Genomic DNA, 17,691 nt, shown 5'->3' on the forward strand with positions numbered 1-17,691 from the left:
ATGAATTGCTGATACCTTTGTGATCCTGGATGTGGCATCCCCTGTGGGAGTTGAGCCTATCCCCCGGCTCTCGGCCTCCAGGCATTGGGCTCTGGGAAAGTTGTGGCTCCCAGCCAGCAGCTGCATCTCACCTGGGGCTTCTGGAGGAACTGCTCAGAGCTTCAAGGACCCTGTGGTCAGGCTCCTCTTTATACTGCTACTTCAAAGTGACAGAATACTGGCTGGCCACTGTGCCTTTCTGAAAAGGGGTGTAAAAAGAGGATAAGCTCCTTAGATTTTCCTGTGACCTTCCTCAAACCCATCACTGGCACTTCCAGGGAAAATGGATGATTTTAATGATAAAATATGCACAGGAAGGCATGGTAAAAAGCCAGCCTGCTGGAATAGAAAGTCATTGTTTTCCTGGACTCCAGTCAACTTGTAGGGGTCAGAAACTCTAAGGCTGCAGTGGCCAGAGAGGTAAAATACATGAATGAATTTGAGATATTGGGAAGCAGCAGGGACTGTGGCAAAGTAGCAAGTGTCTAAAGAGCATTCACATTCATCGTCTAAGAAAATACGGTGTTGCATATACAAAAATCAACTCAAGAAGGATTAAAGACTTAAATGTAAAACCCAAAACTATAAAAACCCTGGAAGACAACCTAGGCAATACAATTCAGGACATAGGCACAGGAAAAGATTTCATAATGAAGGCACCAAAAGCAATTGCAACAAAAGCAAAAATTGACAAATGGGAGCTAACTAAACTAAAGAGCTTCTGCATAGCAAAAGAAACTATCAACAGAGTAAACAGACAGCCTAAGGAATGGGAGAAAATTTTTGCAAACTATGCACCTGACAAAGGTCTAATATCAAGCATCTATAAGAAATTTAAACAAATTTGCACCAGGGTCTGCTTTTAGCACTGTATGAATATTAACCTCTTTAAACTTATGAAGTGGGTTTTATGATTATGGTCCCCATTTTACAGGTGAGGAAACTAAGGCTCAGGGAGGTTAAGAACCTTGCTGAGTGTTACCCAGCTGGTAAGGAGAAGATCTAGGATCTACATGCAGACAAATGAGCCCCAGAGCTCTTGTTCTTAACTCTCCATATTACCTCCCTAACTTTTCTGATGTCACACAGCTACTGAATAGTAGATCTGGGATAAAAGCCAGGTGAGTCCCATTCCAGACCCTGAACTGGGAGTCCTAGGTACACTTTGCCACCCCCAAGGGGAAAGACTCGTCAGGTCGAGTGTAAAAAGGTGTCTTTTTAAAATAAGAGATTCAGTTTCGAATGTTTGTTTAATGCAAACTAGGCAGATAGTGCAGCTAAAACCAGAAAGAAATAAGACCAGACCACAGCAAGTAACATGCATAAAAGGAGGAGTGTGTGGCTCTGGGCAAACCAGGAGTTGGGTGGGTACAGGTGGGGCAGGTAGCAGGATCCTACTAGGATTTGGAGCAAAGACAGAGCCATGGCAGTTGGAGTCCACATATGTTCCTTCTGAAAACAGGCATTATTTAGTATGTTGATTATGCACTGTGTTAAAGTAGAGTGTATTAACAGAAACTTCGGCGTACAGCAAGGCCAACAGATCGAATTGCCATTGAAAAGACTGTTTGTTATTCACAGTTCCCAAGAGGAGGGGGCACCCCATGCCAAGGGGCCACACTAGTTTTAGAACTGCCTCACTCTGGAAGGGGAAGTCCCTCCAGGGTAAGCAAGGGCCCCAATGTCAAAGCATCAAGAATATAGAAAACAAAAGACAAGGTCAGTACACCGACCTTGGTCTGACTTCTCTCCAGGGCATAGTATTACTGCCTACTTTGGGCCTTAACCTATTTGCAATTCATTTTTTTCTGGACATTTTGCTGCAAAGGCTGAGCATATCATGAGACTCCTCCCTCATGTGATTCTTGGGCTCAGCATGGGCTGGCTGCATGGTGAAGGGACATGTGACTTTGCTTCACCCATGCCCAGATGCATTACTGTGCACCCCCGGCCTCTCCTGGTGTCTCGGTGCCCAGGGACTGGAGCCGGGCCAAGGGCAGGTCGTCATTCTGTTGTGGGGAACAAGCACTGCCCATTGGAGTCCACACCAAGGCAGGCACCATTCACTCTGTAGGTTTGTGTATTTATTATAATAAGCTTCCAGCAGATGGCAGTAAAGCGTCGTGATCTAACAAAGTCTATTAGGACGATGTTTCTGACAAACAGAAAGTGCCTGTAGGGTGCACTCTGCTCCGAAAGGGTCCACGCCCAGTGGCCCAGCAGTCCGGTCTCAGAGGCCACCGTGCATTATCCCACTCTGCAGGGTCTGCAGCTACACCTCTGTTATCCAGGAAGAGATGGCTTCTCTGCTTAGCCCCAAGGCAACGTTCCCTGCGGTTTTACAGCAGCCTCCCTTTGGACTCTGCTATCTGAGCCCTGGGAGGGAGCACTGAGGTCCTGGAAGGTCACAGGGGGGTGCCACATACTTCAAGGGGAGTGTCACATACTTCAAGGGGAGTGCCACATACTTCAAGGGGGGCAGCACTTGAAGTCTGAGGTCCTGACAGCCAGGGGGAGAGGGAGGACTCTGGAACCTGACAGGCATAGCAGGTATGAGGTGATGGCTTAATGAGTCCTGCACCAGGGAGGGACCAGGCCTCTAATGGATTAGATCCAACTACTTGGACACTTAATGAAAGGGGGGACAAGGAATGCGTGGCCTTGTCCTGTGCTCTTTTCTGCCAGGGGTGTTGCTGACGTGGAGGGGGTGGTGATGGAGCCAGGCCAGAGCCCCCTGGCTCTTGCTGTGCCCCGGCCTAGGGCAGGGCCATTGGTGTTGTAACATCAGGCTCTGGGTCCCTCTTGGGGAGGAGCTGTCTTTGGGAAAAGTCTTGAAACACCACTGAGAAAGAGGGTGCTAGAGGGGTCTCAGGTCACAAAAAGGATGTTAAACTGCTTTTAATGAGACAATGAGGACGATTTGTTTTATATCCTTTGAAAGAGGAGAGGTGAGGAAGGAGGCCGGAGGAAGAGGAGGGAGTAGCAGGCAAGATGGGGAAACCTGGAGTTCCAGCCAGTGCGGGTGCTGTCCGGACAATGGCCTCTGGGCGCGGGTCAGCGAGAGGGAACAGGAATGCCTGACACCTGATTCGGAGTTGACTGGGCTGCATGCTGTGGGAGCCGGCCCCATGGACACCCCTCCCCTCGTCTTCAGTGAAGTTTACTTGCCAAAGTTTCACATGAAAGTTTTGTGTTATGTGCTGTGTGTGTACGTGTGTGTGTGTGTGTGTGTGAGAGAGAGAGAGAGAGAGAACTGGGGAAAGCCTCAGTTCACATCTGGACCAGTTGATGTGGCACAGAATAGAGGAGGCATGAGTGGAAGACAGCCCAGAAGCTGCCTGGGCCGTGCCCCTGGAAGTCCCTCGGGATTCTGCAAAATCCTGGTGAAGGCTCCACACACTGGAATTAGGGATTTTATTCACTTTTACCCAGATGTCGAGAGTTTGGGTTGTTCCAGTAGATATCGGAGTCACACTGATAGCTATGTACGTGGAAGGGCTTTTGGAGGCCCTCCTGATCTGTCAAGGTGTCTGTACACATGCAATGTTCCTGAGCCGAGCAAATATGAAAGATGGTCCACCCCATGCCCCCAACAAAAGTGTCCTATCAGTTAGAAGAGTTTACTGCTATCATTGTCTCTTCAGCCACAATGACACTGAGGAGAAGCATTCAAGTAGATTCAATTCTTTAATAGATACACTTTTTAAGAAATGAATTTTGAATGGCTTTATATTCGCTCATTCATTCACTGACTGATTCCATGTATTAGCACCTAATGTGTGCTGAGAACTGGCCTAGGCACTGGGGAGCCATGGAGAAGGTGGCTGCCCTTAAGCAGATTTCAGGATGTAGGGGTGGGGTTGATCAGAGTAACAAGAATATAGCAGCTCAGGGTCACATTTTTAGCAGCTACTTTTAATTTGCTTGACAATCTAATTTGCTTGACAAACTGTGTCAGGAAAGTCCCTGGGTAGAAATTACTTCGTGCTAGAGAAAATACAGGCCTGTTTTCCAGCACGGGTCTGATGTGCTTATCAAGTTTCTGTTGAGAGCAGGAAGAGAGGCAATAGGATCAGGGTGGGCCCGACCCAAAGTAATCCTTGGAGGAGAGTCTCAGGGCAGTGTGGCCTTACCCACTCTGCTTTTCTGTTACTGAGATTGTATGCATTCTTAGTTTCATGCTGGCTCTATAAAGGCATTGCAAAATTGTTCTTAAAACCAGAGGATAAAATTGCTTTGGAGAGCTCTCATTTTGGTCTCCTGGTGGGTTGTAAGTAAATACATTCTTGGAAACTGAGCAATGAAACTCTGTTGTATCAGGCCAAGAGGACGAGGCAGCAGCAAAACTTATGCTGCTTTGGGTGCCCAGCCGTCTGTGGTCTACAGGGAGGTGCCATCTTGGGTGCCAACAACTGGGGAATTCACACATCTGGTGCAGAGTAAGGGCTCAGCACGTGCCTGGTAAAGGAACAGAAAAAGGATTGATACACAGTGCCACACACCACACCCTTCCATTTAAAAACTTAAGTATAATCCACCCTTTTTAGTATACAGTTCTGAGAATTAAAAAAACAAAAACAAACAAACAAAAACACTGCATAGTTGTATAACCACAATCAGAATAAGGAATTCTTCTGTAGCCCCTAAAGTTCTTCCAGCTCCCAACAAACACTGATATATTTGATATCCTTATATTTTTGACCTTGCAAAAATGTCATATAAATGGAATTATACAGTATGTAGCCTTCTGGGTCTGACATTATTCACTTAGCATAATGCATCTGGCATTCACCCATGTCGTGTGTGTTAGTGGTTTGCTCCTTTTTCATTGTTGTGTAGTGTTCCATTGCATGGTTGTAGCATAGTTTGTTTATTAATCAGTTGAGGAAACTTTGGGTTGCTTTCAGTTTTGGGTGATTACGGAAAAGTTGCCATAAATGTTCATGTACAGGTGCTTGTACAGACATAGGTTTTAATTTCCCTTGGGTAAATAGCTAGAAGTGGGATTTCTGGTTGGTATGATATGTTTAACATTGTAAGAAACTGCCATATCATATATTCTAAAGCATATAATTTTGCATTTGCATCAGCTGTGTGTAGGAGTTCCATTTGCTCTGCATCCTTGTTAGCACTTGGGATTTTCCGTTAAGCAACAACAACAATTAGCTATTCTAACAGGTGTGTAGTGGTATCTAATTATTTTAATTTATACTTCCGTAAGGATGAATGATAATGGGCATATTTTTATGTGCTTATTTTCCACTGGTACATCTTGGCTAAAGTGACTGTATAAATCTTTTGCCCATTTGTGGCTGGTTTGTTTTCTTATTCAGATTTGAGAGCTCTTTATGTATTCTGGATACAAGTCCTTTATCAGCTACATGCATTGCAAATATTTTCCCTCAGTTTTTGGCTTTTTTTTTTGTTCTTTTAACAATGTTTTTCAAAGAATAGAAGTTCTTAGTTTTGATGAAATTCAATTTATCAAACACTTCTTTTATGAACAGTACTTTTGGTGTCATGTCTCAGAATTCTTTGCCTAATCCCAGGTGTATTAGTCCATTTTCACACTCCTATAAAGACATACCTGAGACCAGATAATTTATAGAGAAAGAAGGTTTAATTCACCCACAGTTCTGCGTGGCTGGGGTGGCCTCAGGAAACTTACAATCATGGCAGATGACAAAGGAAAGCCAGCATTTTCTTCACAAGGTGCAGGGAGAGACAGAGAGAGAGAGGGGGAGAGAGAGAGAGAGCGAGCGCAAAGGAGGAACTGCTAAGCACTTATAGAACCATCAAGATCTCATGAGAACTCATTCACTGTCATGAGAACAGTATGGGAGAACCACCCCCATGATGCAGTCACCTCCCATCAGGTCCCTTCCTCAATATGTAGGGATTACAATTCGAGATGAGATTTGGGTGGGGACACAAAACCAAACCATATTACCAGGTCATGAAGATTTTCTTCTGTGTGTGTGTTTATTTAAAGTTTTATAGTTTATATTTATAATCTATTTTTAGTTAATTTTTATGTAGGGTGTGAAGTTCAAGTCAACGTTCATTTGCATATGAATGTCCACTCGTTCCAATATTATTTGTTAAAAAAATTATCCTTTCTTCCTCCAATGAATTGTCTTTGCACCATTGTCAATTTACCATATTTGTGTGGGTCTGTTTCTGAACTCTTCATTTTGTTTCATTGACCCATGTGTTTATTTCTTCACTAATACCATGCTGTCTTGATTATTGTAGTTTTATAATAGGTTATGAAATTGGGGAGTTTGAGTCTTGAAAGTTTATTTTTTTTTCAAAATTATTCTGGCTATTCTAGTTTCTTTGGCTTTTCATATAAATTTTAGAATCAGGTTGTCTGTATTATAAAATATCGGGCTTGGAGTTTTACAGAAATTGCATTAAATCAATAGATAATTTGGGAAGAATTGACATCTTTACTACACTGAGTCTTCCAATCCATGAACACTGTATGTCTTTCCATTTATTTAGGGTCTCTTTAACTTATTTCATCAGCATTTTATAGTTTTCAGTCTATAAATCCTGTAATTTTTGTTAGATATATTCCCAAATATTTTCTTAGAGTTGTTGTAAATGGTATTATTTTTATTTTTTGTTTTCAGACATATAATTAATTTTAAAATGTTGACCTTTTATCCTGTGACCTTGCTAAACTCACTTATTATCCTTAGTCCTAAACTCACTATTAGCCTCATTTATAACCCTTAGACCCTACCCCTACTTTTTTTTGATTCCTTGGAATTTTCTGTGTGAACACTCATGTTATATATGAAAATGGATAGTTTTGTTTCTTCTTTTTTAATCTGTATACTTTTTCCCTCAATCATCTTAATATTCTGGCTTTAACTTCTAGTACAATTTTGAATAAGAGTGAAGAGAGTGGACATTTTTACCTTGTTGCCAGTTTTAGGATGAAAGCATCCTGTCTTTTACCATTATGTTTGACATTTACTATAGGTTTGTTGTGGATGCCTTTTATTAAGTTGAGGTAGAGCTCTCTTTTATTCCTAGTGAGTTGAGAGTTTTTGTAATGAAAGGATATTAAATTTTGGCAAATGCCTTTTCTGTATCAATTTATATGATTATGAAGTTTTTCTTTTTTAGATTGTTAATGTGGTATATTATATTGATTGATTGATTTTTGAATGTTGAATCAGACTTGTGCTCCTGGAATAAACCCCACTTGGCCATAATTATTATTCTTTTTGTATATTGTTAGATTCAACTTGCTAAAATTTTGCTGTAGATTTTTGCATCTGTGTTTATGAGGGTTACTGGTCTGTTACTTTATTTTCTTGTACTGCTTTTGGCTTTGTAGCTAAGCTAATGCTGGACTCATAAAATGAGTCAAACTCTATGCTAGAAGAGATTGGTGTTATTTCTTCTTTAAATGTTTGGTAGAATTTTCAGTGAAGCCATCTGGCCTGGAGATTTCTTTTCCAGGAGGTTTTAAAGTATGAATTTAATTTATTTAATAGTTATAGGACTACACAGGTTATCTGTTTTATTTTAAATGAATTGATTTATTTTGGTTTTCAAAGAGTTGGTTCATTTCCATTGTCAAATTTTCTTGCATAGAACTGTTTATGGTATTGCTTTATTACATACATATATATATATATAGATATGTATTTTTTTTTTTTTTTGGAGACAGAATCTTGCTGTGTCCCCCACGCTGGAGTGCAGTGGCATGATCTCAGCTCACTGCAATCTCTGCCTTCTGGGTTCAAGTGATTCTCATGCCTCAGCCTCCTGAGTAGCTGGGATTACAGGTGCCTGCCATCACGCTCAGCTAATTTTTGTATTTTTAGTAGAGACGAGGTTTCGCCATGTTGGCCAGGCTGGTCTCGAACTCCTGACCTCAGGAGATCCGCCCACCTCGACCTCCCAAAGAGCTGGGATTGCACGTGTGAGCCACTGTGCCTGACCATTGTATTATATTTTTAATTTCTGTGGCATCTGTAGTGATATTCCCTTTTTCAATCCTTATACTAGTAATATGTATCTTTCTTCTCTTTTTCTTTTTCTTACTAGAGGTGTACTCATTTTTGATCTTTTCAAAAAAGTTAACTCTTATTTTAATAGATTTTTTCTATCATTTTTTCTGTTTTCAATTTCATTGTTTTCTGCTCTTATCTTTGTTATTTCTTTCCTTCACATGCTTAGGCTCTATTTTGTTCTTCTTTTTCTAGTTTTTTAAAGTGGAGGCTTAGATGATTAATTTGAGGCATTTCTTCCCTTTTAATGTAAGCATACCATACTCTAAGTTACCCATAAGTATTGCTTCAGCTGCATCTGACAAAATTTGAGAATTCAGATCTGCATTTTCATTCAGTTTAAAAGATTTTCTAATTCACCTTATGACTTCCTCTTTAACCCATGGACTATTCAGATGTGTGGTTTTCAATTTCCAAATGTTTGAAGATTTTTTTGGTTATCTATTATTGTTTCTGGTTTAATTCCATTATGGTCAGACAGCATTCTATGTATGATTTTATTTTATTTTATTTTATTTTATTTTATTTTATTTTATTTTATTTTATTTTATTTTATTTTATTTTTTGAGACGGAGTCTCCCTCTGTCGCCAGGGTGGACTGCAGTGGCGTGATCTCTGCTCACTGCGACCTCTGCCTCCCAGGTTCAAGTGATTCTCCTTCCTCAGCCTCCTGAGTAGCTGGGACTGCAGGCGCACACCACTATGCCTGGCTAATTTTTGTGTTTTTAGTAGAGCTGAGGTTTCACCATGTTGGCCAGAATGGTCTCTATCTCTTGACCTCGTGATCCTCCCATCTCGGCCTTCCAAAGTGCTGGGATTACAGGCGTGAGCCACCACTCTCGGCCTATATGATTTTAATTCTTTAAAATTTGTTAAAATTCGTTTTATGACTAATACATATGATATGTATTAGTGTATTCGAGGAGAATGTATATTCTGTTGCTATTGGATTAAATGTTCTACTTATAGCAATTAGATCCAATTGGTTAAAGCTATTGTTTAGTTCTCCTATATATTTGATGATTGTCTATGTACTAGTTGTATTGATTATTGAGAAAAAAAGACTACTGAAGGTTCTGTAAAGGACAGACACTAGGATGGTACCCAATGATCCCTGTGTACTGTTCACCCTCTCATATAATTCTCTCCCCTTGAGTATGAGTGGGACCTGTGATTTACTTCTAACCACTAGGATATGGCAAAGGTGACAGATGTAACTTCCGAGATTATGTTACATTATATGAGTCCATCTTCCAAGAAGATGTGCTCCAGGAATTTCATTTGCTGACCTTGAAGGAGTAAATAGTTGTGTTGAGAGGCCCATGGGGCCGGAAACAGGGTAGTTTCTAGGAGTTGAGGGAAGTATCCACCCGACAAGCAGCAAGAGTCTGGGGCTCCCAGCCCTATAGCCATAGGGAAATGATTTCTGCCAAAAACCTGAGGGAGCTTAATAGCAGAAGCTTTCATAGTCAAATTTCCAGATGAGAAATCAGCCCTGGCCCACACCTTGATTGCAGCCTTATAAGACCCTAAGCAGAAGATCCAGATAAGTTGTACCCAGACCCCACCCACAGAAGCTGTGCAATGATTGATGTGCTGTGTTTTCAGCCTGTGAATTTGTGATAATTTGTTACGCAGGAGTAGAAGCCAATATGACTTCAACTTTAATTGTGGATTTGTTTCTTTTTTTAGTTCTGTCGGTTTTTGCTTCATGTATTCTGAAGCTCTGTTGTTAGGAGCTTATTCACTTAGGATAGTTACGTCTTCTTGATGAATTGGACCTTTTATCATTATGTAATGTGTCTCTTTATTTATGATAATTTTCTGTGCTCTGAAGTATGTTTTGATGATATAGGCATTTCCTTCCTTCCTTCCTTCCTTTTTATTTTTTTTGACAGAGTCTCACTCTTTTGCCCAGGCTGGAGTCCAGTGGTGTGATCTCGGCTCACTGCAATCTCTGCCTCCCAGGTTCAAGCAATTCTCCTACCTCAGCCTCTGAGTAGCTGGGATTACAGGCATGGGTCACCAGGCCTGGCTGATTTTTGTATTTTTAGTAGAGATAGGGATTTCACTGTGTTAGTCAGGCTGGTCTCGAACTCCTGACCTCAAGTTTCTGCCCGCTTCGGCCTCCCAAAGTGCTAGGATTACAGGTGTGAGCCACTGTGCCCAGCCCCAACTTTCTTTTTATTAGTTTTTGCATGAAATGTCTTTTTCTATTGTTCTACTTTTAACTTACCTATCTCATTATATTTGAAGTCAGTTTGCTAATTCCTAACTAAGACCATTTACATTTAATGTAATTATTGATATGTTTGGATTTAGCTCTACCATTTGATTTGTTTTCTGTTTGTTACCTCTATTTTCTGTTCCTTTGTATGCCCTTTCCTGACTTCTTTGGCTTAATTGAATACTTTTTAATATTCCAAAATATAAATAAATAAGTTTATTTATTTTAGTGCTTGTTCTAGGGATTACAATATATATATATCCTTAGCTTTTCACATTTAAGATTTACTCTGTAAAGTAATTCTGATTACTTTATATTGACTACGGATTAGGTTGATTACTTAGAATTAATGTTTACTATGTTTTACAATCAAGTAAAATCATCAATCTTACCACCATATAACTCCGTTTATACTCCTTTTGTGTTACAATAGTGCTATGTATTGCATCTACTTACATTGAAAATCCATCAGATAATACTATAATTTTTATTTCAACCTTCGAACATATTTTTAAAACTCAAGAGGGAAAAATAGCCTACTATATTGATATGGTTTGGCTGTGTCCCACCCAAATCTCATCTTGAATTCCCATGTGTTGTGCGAGGGACCTGGTGGGAGGTAATTGAATCATGGGGGCAGGTCTTCCCTGTGTTGTTCTCGAGCTAGTGAATCTCGTGATCTTGTGATAGATCTCATGAGATCTGATGGTTTTGAAAAATGGGAGTCTCCCTGCAAAACCTCTCCCTTTGTCTGCTGGCATCCATGTAAGATGTGACTTGCTCCTCCTTGCCTTCTGCCATGATTGTGAGGCTTTCCCAGTCACGTGGAACTGTAAGGCCAATTAAACCTCTTTCCTTTGTAAATTGCCCAGTCTTGGGTATGTCTTTATCAGCAGTGTGAAAATGGACTAGTACATATATTTACCATTTACCCAGATATTTACTATTTTTCCTTTATTCCTGGTGCTCCAAGTGTACTTCTTTTTTTTCTATTTATTTATTTATTTATTTATTTATTTATTTTTTGAGACAGGGTCAGGCTGGAGTGGTATAATTGCAGCTCACTGCAGCCGGGAACTCCTGGGCTCAAGCAATCTGTGGTCCCACCTAAGCCTCCCAAATAACTGGGACTACAGGTGTGAGCCACCGTGCCCAATTAATTTTTTTAAAAAATTTTTTGTAGAGACTGGTCTCACTGTGTTGCCCAGTTGGTCTCAAATTCCTGAACTCAAGCAATCCCCCTGCCTTGGTCTGCCAAACTGCTAGAATTACAGGTGTGAGCCACTGTGCCTGCCTCCAAGTTTACTTCTGATATAATCTCCCTTCTCTGTGAAGAATTTCCTTCAGTAATTCTTTTAGTGAAGGTCTGTTGGCAACTAATTATCTTAGTTTCCCTTTGTCTTAATTTGTTCGGGCTGCTATAACAAAATACCTGAGACAGGGTAATTTATAAATAACAGAAATTTATTTCTCACAGTTCTGGAGGCTGAGAAGTCCAAGATCAAGGTGCTGGCAGGTTTGATATCTGATGAGGGCTGCTCTCTGCTTCCAAGATGGTGCTTTTCTTGCTGCATTTTCCAGAAGTGGAGGAATGCTGTGTCCTCATATGGTGGAAGGGACAGAAGTTGGGAGGCAGCTCTCTGAAGCCTCTTTTATAAGGATACTAATTCCATCTGTGAGGGTGGAGCCCTCATGGCCTTATCACCTCCCAAGGGCCTCACCTGTTAATACTATCACCACCTTGGGGGTTAAGTTCTAATATATGAGTTTTGGAGAGACATATACATTCAAACAATAACACCTTTTATCTGAGTATCTGAGGATCTACCTATTTCACCTTCATTTTTAAAGGATTTTTTTTTAACTGAATAAGGAAGTCTGACTTGACAGTTCTTTTGGTTTAGGAGTTGAAAAACAGTTTGCCAGTCTTGTGGTTTTCTTGGGTTCTGATGAGAAACTTGCAGTCATTTGAATTGTTTTTTCCCTATAACTAATGTATCATTTTTCTTTAGATGCTTTCACATTTTTTGTGTAAACACACACTTCTAAAATCTAAACAGATTTTAGAAGTTTGTGATGATGTATCTAGATATGAATTATTTGGCTTTGCTGAGCTTCTTGGATCTGTAGGTTCATATTTTGCCAAATTTAGAAAGTTTTTAACCATTATTTCTTCAAAAAAATTTTCAGAACCACATATTTTTTCCTTCTGAGACTTTGATAACACTAATATTTGATCTTTTGCTAAAATTTACCTTTCTTCAATCCACTGACTTTTTTTTTCCTGCCATTTCTATTTTGTTTTTAGCCTATCCTGTGAGTTCTTTATTTTGGTTATTATATTTTTCTGATATAAAAATTTCCATTTGGTTGTTTTTTCTATCTTGGATTTCTTTGCTGAGACTTTATACCTTTTCATTTCAGGAGTGTTAACCATTACTTCTTGGAACATTTTTCTAAAGTCTGTTTCAGATAATTCCAACATCTGTGTCATCTGGTGTTGGCATCTGTTGTTTGTCTTTTTCCATACTAATTGAGATTTTCCTGGTTCTGTAACTGCTGAGCAATTTTGGATTATGTCCTGAATGTTTTGAATATTATAAAACTCTGGGTCTTATTTAAATCCTATAAGTTGACAATTTTGTTTTAATAGGCCAACAACCTGGTTGGGTTTAGGCTGCGAGTGCTGACCAGTCCTCTGAGGAATGTGGTTTCAATTTTGGGTTCATTTTAAAAGCATTTATAATGCTATTCATATCTGTTGCACACATGTGCTCCTCAATGGCCAGTTGGGTATGCAGGTGGCGGCCTCTTAGTGTAGTTCTCAAGTCTTTGGTTTGCTGTTGAAGATCAGATCCACGCATGTGCCGCTCGAGTGTGGGCCATCTAGAGCATTTCTTCTCTGTGATCTTTCTGGTGCATTCTGGTTCCTGGGGCTTCTCCTTTTTCATCCTCTGGCCAGAAAGCTGTAGCTTTAGTTACTCTGCTCTGCTATGGTTGCCCCTGCTCCTGGGGACAAGCAGTGGAAAAACACTGAGATTAAAAAAAAAAAAAAACAAGGGGGATTTGTCCATGCTCCTCTGAGCAGAGAGACTTTCCCCTCTTTGAGAGTTTAGGTGGTTGTGGAATCCTCGTGCCACATCTTTCACAGCCTCTGCTGCCATGAGATTCCCCTGAGGCTAGGACGTAAGAGAATGGAGAATGAAAAAAGAAAAAAAAAAGGAAAAGAAAAGTGTGGGATTTCCCCCACTCTCTCTGAGAATTAGGGGACCTTTTTCCAGTGTGTCAAACCAGAACTAGAGGGCTTTGCCTGTGCTGTTTCTGTCCGTGTCCTGACACCCCCTTCTGGATTTTGGGCTTCCTTGGGTACAGGCCAGGGGAAACTGGAGGTAAAATAGGAAACTTACCATCAATCTGACAGTATAATACTTTGAATTCTGGTATTCTTAATTTACCTGCTGTGATTTACTTTTTATAGTTCTCAAATAACTGCTCCAGGCATTCTTTCCAAGTTTTATAAATTTCATTCAATGGAAGAGACTTGACATAGTGTGTTCACTGTACCTTACTCTGAACTGGAATGGGAGCCCTTGGTTCTTAGCACACTTATTGCACCATTTCAGATACATATGAATTAAATGTATGCATGTATATGATGAAGAAAGCTTTGTTTATGATATGGAGAGACCCTCATGACATGTTGATAAATGAAACGAGGTAGGTCGCAAGGCACCTTGTATGGTATATTCTTGTTTATGTATAATTGTATATATTCATATATAGAAAACTTGGATATTTGGTTTACGTTTGCTGCTGCAAGTCACAAAATACCTAATCAAAAGTGCCTTGAACATTAAGAGAGGTTTATTATGTTGCATGGCAGGAAGTCAGAGCACGGTTGGTTCGAGGGTTGGCTAGTTTTCCAGCTTAAGAATGTCAGGGCTCTTAGTTTCCCACTGAGACATTCTTTGGACTTTCTTTAAAGGGTGTAAGTTGGCTGCAACTCCTTCAGGCTTCCTTTCATTACATGGCAATGTCCAAAGTCAGGAAGAACCATCTCTTCTTGTGTTTCTCTTTTATTAAGAAGGAAAACTTCTTCTTAAAGCCCCTAGCAGACTTCCGTTATGTTAATTAACCAGGGTTGAATCTGATGCCTGAGCCTTACCAGTCTCTAGAACTAATTATGGAACTACCAGGGTGAATAATACTAGCTCGCATTTATACCCTGAGGCTGGAAAGGGAACTCTGAAATCCTTTGGACTCCTGATGCTCAAACAAAATCATATTCATCCTCACAAGAAAGAAGAGAAGGAAATTAAGAAAGACATAAGTAAATGGAAATATAGCTTGTGTTCATAAATTAGAAGACTTAAGGATATTAAAATGTCCACACAACCCAAAACAATCTAGAGATTCACTGCAACCCCTATCAAAATCCCAATGGCATTTTTTACAAAAATAGAAAAAATCCCCAAATTTATATGAAACAACAAAGGACATTGAATAGCCAAAACAATTTTGAGAAAAAAGAACAAAGCTAGAGGGCTCATACCTCCTGATTTCAAAACATACTATAAAGTTACTGTAATCAAAACAATATGATACTGGCATAAAGCCAGACGTGTAAACCTATAGAACAGAATAGAGAACCCAGAAATAAACCTATTCCTATACAGTCACTTGATCTTTGACAAGGGTGCCAAGAGGACACAATGGGGGAAAGGGTAGTCTCTTCAACAAATGGTGTTGGGAAAACTGGGTATCCACATGCCAGAGAATGAAATTGCACCTTTATCTTACACCATACACAAAAGTCAACTCAATATAGATTAAAGACTTAAGATGTAAGAGCTGAAACTGTAAAACTCCTAGAAGGAAACATAGGGAAAAATCTTGACATTGGTCTTGGCAATAATTTCTTAGATATGACACCAAAATCAACAAAAGCAAAAATAGACAAGTGAGACTAGATCGAACTAAAAAGCTTTTGTACAGCAAAGAGAACAATCAGAGTGAAAAGTCTGCCTATGGAATGGGAGAAAACATTTGCAAATTATATATCTGATAAGGTATTAATATCCCAAATATACAAGAAACTCCAACAAACCAAGCAAAAAAATAAATAAATAAATAAATAATGGGCAGAAGGCCCAAATAGATGTTTAACCAAAGAAGTCATACAAATGACCAACCAGCATATGAAAAAATGCTCAACATCACTAATCATCAGGGAAATGCAAGTAAAAGCCACAATGAGATACCACCTCAGACCCATTAGGATGGCTATTACCAAAAAAATCACAAAATATAACAAGTGTTGGTGAGGATGTGAAGAATTTGGATCCCATGTGTCCTGTATTGATGTAAAATGGTACAGTCACTATGGAAAACAGTATGGAAGCTCCTCAAAAATTAAAAATAGAATTACCACAGGATCTACCAATTCTATTTCTCAGTATTTATCCAAAACAATTGAAATCAGAATCTTGAAGAGGTATCTGCACTCCCATGTTTGTTGCAACCTTGCTTACAGTAGCCAAGTTACAGAAACAATTGAAATGTCCATTGATGGGCAAATGGATAAAGAAAATGTGGTGTACAATGGAATATTATCCAGCCACAAAAAAGAAAGAAATCTTGTTATATGCTGCATGAATGGACCTTGACAACACTGTGCTAAGTGAAAGAAGCCAGTCATAGAAGGACAAATACTGCATGGTTCCACTAATATGAATTATCTAGAGTAGTCAAAGTCATCGCAGCAGAATGTAGAATGGTGGTTGCCAGGGGTTGGGGGAACTGGGAAAAGGGGAGTTGCTGTTCAATGGATATAAAGATTTCGTCGTGCAAGAGGAATAAGTTCCAGAGATCTCCTTTATAATGTTGTGTTTATAGTTAGCAATGCTGTAATGAACACTTAAAAATTTGTTAAGAGGGTAGATCTTATGTTTTGTATTTTTTACTCCAATAATAAGTTAGTTTAAAAAGTTAGAAGAGAGGGGTGAATAGGTTGGTAGGCGGCCAACAGAGTCTTCCAAGGAGGTGTGTACCAATCCTGACCTACTAACAGTGTTTTCTCTTGGGTGCAGGGTTTTGAGGAAACTTTCACTTTCTTGGGATTGGTCCTTTCCACCTGATCATATATGATGACAGTAAAATTGGTGTTTCCTATTTGAGAAAAGATAAAAGAGGGTCCTGGCTTTTATTTACTTCTCCATGGAGCCTGCCTTGGCTCCCAGGCCCTCTCTGATCCTTTCCTTCTCTGAAGACTGGATGTTTCAAGGGCAGTGTCATGCAATTTACGATTTCAGTCTAATACTTATTGTTTTGTTGGCTGCTATGTCTTGTGTATTCATTTATCTTCTACCCCCAACTGAGTTGTAAACTCTTTGATATCAGATACATTTCTTCTTGATCTCCAGGGGATCCAGGGCTGAGAACCTGGGTGGAACACAATAAATACCCATTAAATGATTTATGGTGTGGCCTATTTCTGGGCCAGCCCTGGGAATAGGGGGTAAGGCATGGTCATTTGCTATCAATCAGTTTCTGAAAATATACTATCATTTTTTTGCTTGGATCCCTGATGATAAGACACAAGTCAAAGAACCAAAATTTTACCAGGTGATAGGAATTTTTCCAAGTGATAGGAAGCAAATAATTATGTAATCAAGACAAGTCATAGTTGTGCTATTCTATAATGTTCTCATTGAACAAGTCTGTATCTCAGGAGACTTTTGCATGTTAATAGACCATGGGCTTTGCGAAAACTTCTTTCTGGTGGTCTACAGCGTGTGGATTCAAATCCTTAATGTTTTAGTTACCTGAAGAATTCTAAGTTTTCCAATAATACGCTTTAAAGAAAAATAATGCCTCAAATGAGTGTTGTGTAGTTAAGCATATTTACTTAACATGATGCTTTTTACCTTTCAAAGTCTTTTCACCTACATGACAAAATGTTCCAAGTGAAAAGGACTTTTGACAGCATGACTCCAATCCCTTTAGATACTAGAGAAACTGAGGCCCAAACAAGGGAAGTGCTTTTCCAGGATACACAGTTAATTATTGGCAGTACTGGACTAGAATCTGGAAGGAATGCCTCTGACCTTTACCACTTTGTCAGGCTGCTTTGAACATCTTGTTTCCTGGAAGGGTTATTGCTATTTTGATTATTTAGTAGAGTTGTCAGGGGAAGCCAACTAATTAAGCAAGATGTGAAATGTTAGGATTAACCTGTATGTTTCACTGAGAATGAGTGTACTAGACACTTTCTGGAGGAGATGCTAGACAAAGAGTTTGAGGTGGTGGGAACTTGAATTCAAGACACCAGAGGGACACACCTAGAGGGTAAAGGCCCTGGTAAGGAGGATGGATGGACAAAACCTGGAGGAG

At 39.7% G+C, this 17,691-nt stretch overlaps 1 long non-coding RNA gene across 8 annotated transcripts in view, besides 1 other annotated feature; it reads left to right on the top strand.

Annotated features, from left to right (window-relative positions):
* Positions 1 to 17,691, top strand: part of LOC105373592 (uncharacterized) — a 530,486-nt gene that overhangs the window by 70,615 nt on the left and 442,180 nt on the right. The gene's annotated exons all lie outside the window — the stretch shown is intronic.
* Positions 2,990 to 3,497: an enhancer, noted in NCBI's record as "H3K27ac-H3K4me1 hESC enhancer chr2:122733633-122734140 (GRCh37/hg19 assembly coordinates)". NCBI's record gives its function as "activates a minimal SCP1, AML or CMV promoter by ChIP-STARR-seq in primed H9 embryonic stem cells {active_cell/tissue: H9 hESC(primed)}" and the evidence as "EXISTENCE:reporter gene assay evidence [ECO:0000049][PMID:30033119]".

Source organism: Homo sapiens, chromosome 2 (assembly GCF_000001405.40).
Source record: "Homo sapiens chromosome 2, GRCh38.p14 Primary Assembly".
In the NCBI taxonomy this organism is placed as follows: Eukaryota; Metazoa; Chordata; class Mammalia; order Primates; family Hominidae; genus Homo; species Homo sapiens.